Raw genomic sequence first — 12,463 nt, forward strand, 5'->3', positions numbered from 1 at the left:
TAAAAGCGTGATTCAGCGGACAGCACGCAGGTAAGACTGGAATGGGAGAAGAGTAGAGGAATGATGACAGATGTATTACTAACAATAAATCTTAATATTCGGGTTCTCTCCCTTTTAAATAAATCTAGCATATACACAGCTATACTTGTTAAACAGATAAATTAAGGATTCTTTACTTTCTAAGGGGTCCTTTATATAGCAATCTTTATTGGGCATTTGAAACACCAAAGTTTAATTTGCACAAAACTTCCTTAGGAAAATAACAATTGAATAAGGTACCCTTGTACTTAAGTACTAATGCTATCTTGTTCATGTTAGCATGTAAACACCTGAGTAAATAATTTTTTATTTTTACCTTCCAATTCCAGGTAATGTATCAGGAAACCATGACAATTCCAGTTCATGTCTCTTCTGCCTAATCAATGCACTGATTTCACTGGCTTCTATAAATTCTGTACTAAAAGATAAATTTTAGACCTTCATCAGAATCTCACAATTTTAGGTTCAAAAAAACAATTAGGTTGTACAAAGAATAGCAGTCGTTTTTGTACCTGGCATTATGAATCACACTTACAAGCATGTGAGCTCTTTTCTATTTAAACACTTTCAAAATAAACTCATTCCTAAAATAAGTACAATTTTTATATTGCAAATCAGAGTTGTATTTATATGATTGTTAAAAATAACCCTTGAATTTCTATCTTAAGTGACAGAATTTTTTAAATAAAGTCAAGTCAGAGTAATATCCTCATTATTGAAAGGAAGAAATTCTAGGTGCAATAGTTTCCTACTTGAAACTAAGCCTAAGACAAAAGAAGAAAATAAAGTAGGGTAAGATGACTGCAACCAAAAATGGGTATAGTTCAGCTTTTCAAAAGCCTACTTAGACATAATTTTTTTCTTGGTACCTTGCCAAGTTCTAAAATTAAATCACACAATCGTATTCTGTGCTGCTGGCTCAACTAACTGTACGTGATTTTAAAACCTCAATTTAATCTTCAAATTCCATAAATATCAACTTAGTATCTACATGCCAGTCACTAGGATTCAAAGATGAATGGATCAGCTGTAAAAGGGTTCTTCTTTAGGTAACATCCCCACAAGCTAATAAATAAGCTACTTCTCAATCATATAAACAGCTTATATAGAACAACTTATTAATGAAAACAAAGCACACTGGCATAGGCAATCACTGCACAATAGAGAAGCTCCCAAAATTAACAGGTTTTCTCTTTGCTAGAGCTAGTTTACCTTCCCCCCCGCCCAAAAAAAAACTAAAGCAAAACAACCAGGTGGGCCTTTCAGTTTTTATTGGGCCCAGAGTTTAAATTTCTAGCAAAAGTTAATAATTATTAAACATCAAGTATAAACAGCATAAATTAAAAGTAGAAAATACTAACCAATAAGCTCTATAGGTAAAGGAAGATTCTCCAGAGTGGCTAACAGAAGAAAACATATTGGAGAAAAAATTTCTGAAGCACTGATTTGTACTCCAATTTGATCTCTGAGGCTAGAAAAGTAAAAAGTAGTTAGTGAAACAGCAAATAAATAACAGGTAAATAATAGTTATACTTAAATATTTTGATACACCTGAAGCACTGGTTATTTATGGACTAAATAACCCTAAAGTGTTATCATCTAAGAAAAAGATTTTTCTTGGTTTCAACAAACCTTATTTATCTTTATTGCTGCATTTTTCTTTCCTCCTGTTTCACTGTATAAAGAGTTTCCTGTACAAAGACATAAAAGGACTTGGTTACCTTGTATTAATTTTTATTAAAAAGGCTGTAAACCAGCATCGATACCAGCACATTGGCAAGGGTTGAAATACGTAGAAAAGCTGTATTTCAAATAATACACAATTTTTTACACAATTTTCCCAAATGCTGATTTCATCTTACCTTGTTAAGCTATTACTACAAGTAAAATATAAAAGGCCACAATACAGAAACTGGGTGAAGTATGTCAAACCTGCTATGTTTACAACATATGAGTTAAAATTCTAATCAACATTTTCTGCTACCTTATGCAAACTTAAAGTATCTTGTAACAAAAGGTATACACAAGAAGTCAAGCTATTTAATATCAATAATACACTTAACATTTCTTTTCCAGCTATCATCTAGAAAACAGGTAGCTATCTCAAGCAGGGGCTGACTAGGTGGCCTGGGGCCATCAGCTCTTGTTAACCATAAATTACCATTTAGCCACTGGCACCCACTTCAGGTATGTTCTTTCCTTCCAATTTTATACTAAGATGGAAAAGTAGATGTGCTGACTGAAACAGCTTTCTGTTACAACGTTGGTGGCTGCATTGCTTATGACTTGTCCACAGTGCATATGACAACTGCCTTTTAATTTTCCCCCTTGCTTGCCTCACAAAGGGCCTATTGACATTGTTCAAAATAAATCACACTAACTAGGAGGCTTGTTTCCTGCACTGCAAGATCATATGTATTTTGGTTTACTTCTGTTAGTTCAGTTGGTAATAGCCTACTTTCTACTTAATAGCATACTAATTTCCTTTTTAGTTATTATACAACAGCTGTTTGGTTTTGCACAAGTCCCTCTCAGAACTACTGTAACAAATGTAATTTCAATGTTAGTGGAAGACGAACAGGCTGAGTTCCGGAACTTACTGCCTTACCCCTTTGAAAATCTGTATCTAAAAGATGATACGCTGATTTTTTAAAATGGCTTAAGAGGCAAGAAGTAAAAATGTGTGGTAGGTACACAGATAACACTCTTAGAAATAACCATGTTCCTTCAGCTAGACATAGAATTGCTGTGCTATACCTACATAGTGTCTTTTATGCCCTAAGGATGCTGAGTTGTTTTGTTTCAGGTTGCATTCACTCAACACTTAACGAGTATGTAGTGTTTACATAGCATTCTTTCATTTGGAAACCTATCTCAGAAAGCCATCATTAGATAAAATGCTCTCTACTGAAAGAACTGTTAGTTTTCTCTGAGCAATGCTACATGTGAAAATCCAGTTCAAAAGCTGTTTCACATATTTCTGGGTAATTCTCAGGTAATTACTCAACAGCTTCAATGGCAATCTCTAAAGTATTCGATACTGGTGAATTTGTCTAAATTGTGGTTTCCTGAAGATCGTTTCACAAATCCACCCTACTTGTCTGTTTTTGGTGGGCAGTGATACGCCTTTTCATTTAATTTTTATCAAAGTAATGCATGTACATACTTTAAGATGTCAAACAGTACTTCCAAACTTATAAAGAAAAATTATGGAAATACCCACTCTTGATTTCTGCTTCCCCAAAGCACTCATCAAATCCTTTGGCTGTTTCTTCTAACATTTACTTATTACTAAATAACACCCTTATACTACTCTATGTGTGGTTTTTTTTGTTTTTTTTTTTTGAAACAGAATCTCGCTTTGTTGGCCAGGCTGGAGTGCAGTGCCACAATCTCGGCTGACTGCAACCTCTGCCTCCCAGGTTCAAGCAATTCTCCTGTCTCGGCCTCCTGAGCAGCTGGGACTACAGGCGCACACCACCACGCCCGGCTAATTTTGGTATTTTTAGTAGAGATGGGGTTTCACCATATTGGTGAGGCTGGTCTTGAACTCCTGACCTCAGGTGATCCACCCACTTCGGCCTCCCAAAGTGCTGGGATCACAGGCATGAGCCACCACGCCCAGCCAGCTTCATTCAGGTATTTTCCTAGGGTTAATAATGTCTTTGTTTTCTCTTTTCCTTTTCTTCCTTATTATCCATCATTAATTTAGCTAACTACAACAAAAGTATAAATCTGAGTTTAATACACTCAAACACAACAACTCATCCATAAGGTTTGTTCCCCACTCTCCTGGCAAAACTCTTTCTTTGTCCTGGTCCAATATGAACTGGTAACTCTCAAAGCTGCTGTTCAATAGTCATTTTGGGATTGTCCTTTGTCATTATCCCAATAATCCTCTTTGTCCTGTTTAATCTTTTCCTGAGTTGGAACTCATTTTCTGAATCTCACATTGTTCTTCCATTTACTATCTCATTTAGTGAAGTATATACATACATCCTCCAGCAGAAGTGGAAAAGGGTGGGAATTCTGAGTTAGTGCACGATGGATAGTTTGATAGGTTATAGAATTGTCTAGGTTAGTAATTATTTTCCCTAGAGTTTTCAAGGCATTGCTTCACTACTCCAACTATTGTTGATGACACTCTGTAACCCCAATCCTCTATGTGGTCTGTTTTTACTCTCTCTCTTGTCATCCTCAGACTTCTAGAACTTTATGAAGTATTTGGTATGATTTTTTTTTCATTTACTAAGTATTATATTATTTCTTCATATCTGGACACCTGTGCTCTACTATTACGGAAAAAATTTCCTTTGTATTACTTTTTTAAAAATAAATTTTTGCATTTTTCCTTCCTGAAATTTTATTATTCGATATTGAATCTCTTAAATGAATATCCTATCATCTCTTTTTTAGTCCTACTTTGAGACTTAAGAACTTATCTTCTACTCCTGTTGAATTTTTGTATTTTTGCTGTAATATTTTTAACTTCTGAAAGCTTTTTCTTAAATATTATTTTTCTTGTATCATTGATAAAATATCCCTTCTTTCAGGCTTTGAGGATATTAAGTTTTTTAAAGTTATTCCCTATTTTTCAGCATTGGGTCTGTCCCATCAGGTTGCTTTTGTCTTTGTTTTGATCTCTATTATGTTGATTTTCCTCAAACATCTGGAGATCCTTGATTGTTTGCTGGACACTAAAATATTGATTGAAAATGGTGTAGATGGGTGGTCAGAGCCTTTCAGCTAATGTGTTTCACTGTAGGGTGATCAAGCAGACATCTGGTTACTTCATTGGGAGACTCTCAAATGACATTATCTTTAAGTCTTTTCTTTTGGGCAAGTCAGTTTTCCAAAAGATGTCCCTTATTTCCTACTTTGGAAAATTATAATAATCAAGACTGCCAGTGCTTTGAAAAATGCTCTTAGGTAGAGGACTAGAAGCCTCATCATTTGACTTAATTTCCCTCTCTGTTGTTTCCTGTACCATCATTTATGCTAAAGTTTAAATCTGGTTCAAATACTCATTTTAGAGTGTAAATCTCCAGTCTTTCATTGGGTACTCCCCTTCCTCTACCCACAGCCAGGAATCTTCAGGATCTAAAGATTTTTAACCAATTCTGTTTTCCAAAACCACCCCATATCTCTGCCTTCACAGATAATGGAGGCCTCCAAACTCAACTTGCTAAGGTTTGATGGTATGTGTACTGTCTTGAGATTCTTAACTCCATTCTTCCCATGAAATGTCTATGTATCAGCTTTCTGCTAAGACAATTTACCATCCCCCTCATACTGTTTTACTTTCTATTTTGTGGACACTTATGTGCTGTCCCCCTCTCTCCAGCTTTCTTGTCTTTGTGGCTTAAACTTTGTGGCTTAAAACTCTTCTTTCTGGCCAGGCACAGTGGCTCACAACTGTAATCCCAGCACTCTGGGAGGCCGAGGTTGGCGGATCACCTGAGGTCAGGAGTTCGAGACCAGCCTGGCCAACATGGTGAAACCCTGCTCTACTAAAAATACCAAAATTAGCCGGGCATGATGGCGGGCACCTGTAATCCCAGCTACTCAGGAGGCTAAGGCAGTAGAATCACTTGAACCTGGGAGGCGGAGGTTGCAGTAAGCTGAGATTGTGTCACTGTACTCCAGCCTGGGTGACAAGAGCGAGACTGCATCTCAAAAAAACAAACAAACAAACAAACAAAAAACACACTTTTCTTTCATTCCTTTATTGTCATTTTAGTAGAGATTTGGGATGAGAGGGATCACAGCATTAAACAAGTACTCAATCTGCTATGCTTAACTAGAACCTTGTTTTATTTATGTTAATTCAGCATATCCCTAAACATGTTTCATGAAACACTAATCCGAAAGGATGTTTCATGAAAACATCCTTTTGTACGATACAAACAAGTATAATAAAGGCTCTGAGCTTAGAACCCAGTACTTGGCAGGCATCCAATTAAAGTCTGACTAATTGATTCCAAAGTTTAATAAAGACATAATTAGATGGATCTAGTATGTACTTAAAGAAGTACTACATTAAGAAATGCCTGAAAGGGAGATCCTGTCTGTAAACTATATCAATTATAAACTACTATCCCAAACCAAAGATTAATGTTCATTCCAAGAAACAAAGTGAACATAAAGGAGATTAAAAACAAAAATGTATAATTCAGTTATCTAGTATGACAGAAGAAAGAAAGTGATATTTCCTCAACAAATTTGCTAATAGGTTTGCTGTCTAACCTTTCACTATACCTCTAGTGTGGCAACATCATCTTCATTATATGAGAAAACTAGACAGTTTATATAATTTTACTAAAGTCACAGGTGTTTTAATGGTAAAAACTGTACAAAACTCAAGGGGCTTGACTTCCAGTAAAACCATCTATTAGACCTGCTGAAGTTTTAACTAATAGTATACTATATTTATAGGCTATAATAATCTCTAATCAAGATATAAGAATTCGCAACTTCACAAACTCTATTCATTAGTTTGATTACTGTATAACAAATGACTTCAGATAGAAAGTCACACACCTATGTTTAAAGAACAGTCCCATCCTGCTTCACAAAACTTTAAGAAATTAAAGAAGTTTGGCCAGGTGCAGTGGTTCACGCCTGTAATCCCAGCACTTTGGGAGGCCGAGACGGGCAGATCATCTGAGGTCAGGAGTTTGAGACCAGCCTGACCAACATGGTGAAATTCCCCTGTCTCTACTAAAAATACAAAAGTAGCTGGGCATGGTGGCGCATGCCTGTAATCCCAGCTACTTGGGAGGCTGAGACAGAAGAATTGTTTGAACCCAGGAGGCGGAGGTTGCAGTGAGCCGAGATCGTGCCATTGAGATCGTGCCATTGCACTCTAGCCTGGGCAACAAGACCGAAACTCCATCTCAAATAAACAAATAAATAAATAAGAAAACAAGAAGCTAAGCTAAGTAGAGTTGCTTCTAAAATCTAACCAATCAATCCTAGATAAAGAGACAGACAACAGTTTCTCAAGTAGTTCTTTTATAAAAAGAAATTTAAATTATCCTTAGGCTATATCATGGTTTCTGTTCAGTGTAACTGGGTAAATAAAGATGTATTCAATTTGCACAATCCCCCACTAACTCTACCTTCGTGACTTTGTCTCTTGGTTCCTTGCTTAGTCATCAAATGTCAACATTTAAGGATACAAGCTGTCTTTTCTGTTGCGTGACAGACTCATTTCTGCCCCTAAACTTTGCAATAATTCCAAGTTACACTTACAGGTTCTCTTAGTCTTCTAATTAGTCAGTTTGTTAATAAATACTGTCTAAGAAACCTCATAAGAAATGTGAAAATTAAAAGAAAAATTAAAAACAAAAGAAATGTCCAAATTAAAGGCAAAAACTCTTAAAGGTTCTAATCTTACAGCTATGATTTATGACCTTTAACCTGAAGGAAAAAAAAATCACAGTTAACTGATAAGTGGGGAGCAGACATTCTGCTATCAAAATGAAAGAGAACTAATTTTACATTAAAAATTATTTTTGAGCTCAAAAGTACATCCAAACAAGATCCACCAGAATGGCAATAATTTCAGTTACAAAGGTTGCAGACAACCATAAAGTGAGAGGCTTAATTAAGGTCGGTAACACTAACAATATCATGCTTTGGTATTATTTTGTAGTAGAAAGTGGCATTGGATATAGAGTCAGAAGACTGGATCAAATTCTGGTGGCTCCAATTATTAGCAATGTGATCTCGGACAAGACATTTAGCCTTTTAAAAAAGACTTTACAAAATGATGTTAATACATAATCTCAGAAGACAGAGTTATCTTATTAACCTCCTCTTTTGACATCTTTAGAAACTTTCTAACAGATTACTTGGCTTCCCATCCTTTTGGAATACTTCAACCAGGTTAGTTTATCTAAAACAGTTTCACCGCATTGTATCTCAATGAAAAAAACTTTTAATTGTGTCTACTTGCATAGCAATCTTCCTTTTCAGTCTTATTTCCTTTTATTTATTCTTTTGAGAAAGGGTCTTACTCTGGCGCCCACGCTGGAGTGCAGTGGCATGATCATGACTCACCTGCAGCCTCAACTTCCCCAGGCTCAGGTGATCCTCCCACCTCAGCCTCCCGAGTAGCTGGGACTACAGGTGTGTATCACCACACTTGGCTAATTTTTGTATTTTTTGTAGAGGTGGGTTTCGCCACGTTGCCTCAATCTTATTTCTGATCATCATTAGTCTTAAACATTCTGCCTGAACTCAAGAGTGAGAAAAGAAATGACAACTGGAAGAAACCATCAATTTAACTGAGGAGTCAAGCATAAATAAACATATATCAACACAAACTGTTCACCATTAAAATAACATGAAGATGAGTAGATCTTATTTGTACATGAAATGCAAATATACAATTTCTTCAGAGCATCTCTATGGTCGTAGACACCTTACTTATCGAAAAACGAATTTGCCTGTCATCTTTATTGAGGTACAATTGACAAAAATTGTATATATTTAAGGTATACTACTTAATGTTCTGATATACGTACACATTGTGAAAATAATCACCACAAACCAAACATATGCATCACCTCACAGTTACCATTCTCCCTTTTTCTTGTAGTGAGAACACAAGATCTAAATTTCAAGTGTACAATACACCATTATTAATTATATCCACACTGCTGTACATCTATACATTAGGTATCCAGAATTTATTCATCTTGCATAACTGAACCTCTGAATCCCTTGACAAACATCTCCCTATCTTCCCCGCTCCCAAAAACCACCACCATTCTACTTCCAAAAGAGAATTCTTCATTATACCCTCCCAAACGTTCTCCCACCAGCCTTCCCCATTTCAGTAACTGGCAACTCCTATTTTACCAGTTCCTTAGGTCAAGACCTTGTAGTCAACCCTGACTTCCTTCTTTCTTGTAGCCTATATCCAATCCATCAATGAATCCTGTTAGCTTCATCTTTCAAGTACGATGCAGCTGACCCTTGAACAACATGTGTTTGAACTCCATGGGTCTGCTTATTCATGAATGTTTTTCAATAAAAGTTACACTGAGTGTGCTTGCCTCTCCTGCCTCCCCTTCCACCTTTTCTGCCATTGCCATCCAAGACAGCAAGACCAACCCCTTCTCTTCCTTAGCCCACTCAATGTGAAGACAAGGACAAAGACCTTTATGATGATCCACTTCTGCTCAATGAACAGTAAATGTATTTTCTCATCCTTATGATTTCTTAATAACATTCTTTCTCCAGCTTACTTTATTGTAGGAATACTGTATATAATACATATAACATATAAAATGTGTTTATCAACTGTTTATGTTATCTGTAAGGTTTCCAGTCAACAGGAGGCTATTAGTAGTCAAGTTCTGAGGCAGTCAAAAGTAATACACTGATTTCTGACTGTGCAGGGGTACCCCTAACTCTTGTGTTTTCAAGGATCAATGGTACATACAGAATGGAACCACTTATCATCATCTCCACTAATATCTCCTTGGCCCAAGCCACTACAATTTGTGGCCTAGAAAAACGTCACCTAAAATAAAAAGAACAAAAAAGAAAAAAGCCACCTAAATAGTCAATTTCCACTTCTACTCTTATTCGTCTATGATTTTCTTCCCTTCACAGCCAGAGTAATCCTTTTAAAATGTACCAGATCACGTTACTCCTGAAAACACTCCCTAGCTCACATTGGCCCTAAATGATCTCCCCTTATGTCTTACTCTTTCTCCTCCATCTACCTAATTCAGTCATTCTAGCCACACTAACTTCCTTGCTATTCTTTGGAGACATTCCAAGAATATTCCTGTCTCAGGCTTTTACACTTGCTGTTCCCTTGCCCCAAACAAGATTCCCTGAGATATCTTCATGGCTTAACTTCTTACTTCTTGAAGGTCACTGCTCAAATATATCTTTATTCAAGAGGGTTTCCCTAACACTTTAAATAAACGGTCATCTCCACAATGTCATCACCCTTTAATCTTTTACCCAGCTTTATTCTTCTTTAAAGCATTTATTACCGCCTGTTTTATATTTATATTTGCGTTTGTCTACGAGAAGATCCCATTGACAAGCACTTTGTTGTTTTTGTTCACTACTATACCCCTAAGAGTCACTGTGCTCAGTATAGTTAGGTATTTGTTAAATGTATGAGTGATCTCAATTCCCTTTTGCTTCTCCGAGTATGAACATCTAATACTGAGTACGTATTGAGTATGAATCTAGAATTTAAACCTGAATAATTTTCATCAAATGTAATATCTAAATATAAGCTGCTTCATCCAATAAATAATCTATTTCAATATAGGAAGAAAAACTGACCATGTTAGACTTATCAAATTTCCCTAGTAAAAAGTAACATCACAGCAAAACTATTAATAACGAAATGGATAATCCATGAGTAAAGTGGTCCCCCCTTATTTATGGTGTCTCTTTCTGCAGTTTCAGTTACCTGTGGTCAAATGCAGCCCAAAAATATTAAGTGGAAAATTCCAGATACAAACAATTCTTAAGTTTTAAATTGTACACCATTCTGAATAACATGATGAAATCTTGTGTCACTCTACCTTCATCACAAGAAGAGTAAGAAGAGTAAGTACAATAAGAAATTTTGAGAGAGCCCACGCTCACCTAACTTTTATTACAGTATATTATTATAATTGTTCTATATTATTATTCATTATTGTTAATCTTTCCACCACCTAATTTATAAATTAAACTTTATCATGGGTATGTACATATAGGAAAAAACAAAATATACACAGAGTTTGGTACTATCTGTAGTTTCAGGCATCTACTTGGAACATATCCCCCATGGACAAGGGGTAACTACCATACCCAGTTCCCTTCAAATCAGTCCAGGTTGGTCAGTGAAGACATTTGCTCATAATTACCTCAGCATCAGCACTCTTGTATTACCCACTCAAAGTATAATGAGTATTTCTGCCTATCCTAAACCAAACAAACGACTTCAGGCATCTTAAGTAGATACAGCATTGAGTTACAGGCCTTAGATAATGCTAACCTTCTGGCAGAAATTGTTTTTTTCCTCATTATAATTTTAAAATAGCTATCCAATCTAATATGCCACATTCTAAACAGTAAAACAAAATCTCAAATCAGAATTAATCATAGATGCTTATAAATGAGCTTTACTATACTGAAGCATATGGAATTTAAGATTTTCCTGTATTTCACCTTCTAAAAATGAGCCCAGGCAAGAGATAAACACTTTAAGAAAATTACAGTTGTCAGTGGTCTTAAAACTAAGACTAGCATAATTTAGTGGGCCAAATTACCTAGAAAAAATCTGTAACATCATTTAATCTTCCTCAGCAGTAAATTTTATATTGGTTCTTAGAATTGGCAAGCAAATGCTATTCATAAAAAAAGAATGCTAATCTACAGCAATGACATAGAAAAGCAAAGACTGTTTTCATATCTAAAGCTGACAAAAGAAAAATGCCTTTTTAACCACAGAAGTCCAGAGATCAAAACAACTTTTGCTTCAATTTCACTTTAATAGTAAAATTTCAAAGGCAGAACGTTTGTTAATCTGTAAATCTAACCTGAGGGATCATATTAATTCTAATCAAAAACAAAGCCAACAAAAAACCAACAACTTGGTATTCATAGTGCATAAAAAATGAAGTTATTCACTTTTTAAAACAATAAATTAATTCTTTCACAGCTCACTAATTTACTAGTTCTAGCTGTAAGTGGAAATTCACTGTGACTTAGTCTGGAAAATAAATGCCCACCTCCTCGCTTACAAACAGATCATAGTAAGATGTTCTTTGGGACAGAATAAACAGCCTGAACCCCCAAGGAGGAGTCACAAAGAACTATGGATGTTGTCATTTTTATTCAGGCTCTGCTGCAAAGCCTTCCTGTGTATTAGAAAATCATGTACCAGACAAAAACAGAAGACAGGAATATTTAACTGCTCATGTAGATAAATATGTTAGAGGTGCTTTTATTTCTAAAGTTTCAAATTAGAAGTAAGGCTAGAGGCCAAACTACAACTTCCTTCAGGAACTGTGAATTACTTTCTTGCTGTCACAGTCTTCCTTTGCTACTGCTTACAGTAACTGGCCCACAAGGTATTTAATCTCATCTCCCCCAAGGACTTCTGCACTAATGGGTGGAATAAGGCCACAGTATGAGCTGGTCAACACCAAGAAATTGTGAAACACTCTTTTCTCCCAACACACGCACACACACACCCCTTTTAAGAGGAGCAAGAAGGAAAAAAGGGGCAGAAAACAGTATAAATTGCTCCATGAAAACAAAATTTATGTAGGATTTAACACAATGTACAGAGTTCTGAGGACTATTTTCCAGCCTGAAGTGTTACTGATGAGAACTCTGACACAACCATTAAATTAAAAAACAACAAAAAAAAAGGTAGAATCCACAAGCAAAA

General features: G+C 35.8%; 1 protein-coding gene across 11 annotated transcripts in view; it reads right to left on the reverse strand.

Moving 5' to 3' along the window:
• The window catches only part of SCAF11 (SR-related CTD associated factor 11), a 72,929-nt gene that overhangs the window by 13,645 nt on the left and 46,821 nt on the right, over positions 1 to 12,463 (reverse strand). For all 11 annotated transcript variants that reach the window (XM_047429883.1, XM_047429880.1, XM_047429878.1 and 8 more), the window contains 3 exons: positions 1,672 to 1,730; positions 1,401 to 1,510; positions 356 to 457 (listed from right to left, as the gene is read on the reverse strand). In XM_047429883.1, the coding sequence (XP_047285839.1) occupies positions 356 to 457; positions 1,401 to 1,510; positions 1,672 to 1,730 (271 nt within the window). The remainder of the gene's footprint in view (positions 1 to 355; positions 458 to 1,400; positions 1,511 to 1,671; positions 1,731 to 12,463) is intronic.

Source organism: Homo sapiens, chromosome 12 (assembly GCF_000001405.40).
Source record: "Homo sapiens chromosome 12, GRCh38.p14 Primary Assembly".
Lineage (NCBI taxonomy): Eukaryota > Metazoa > Chordata > Mammalia > Primates > Hominidae > Homo > Homo sapiens.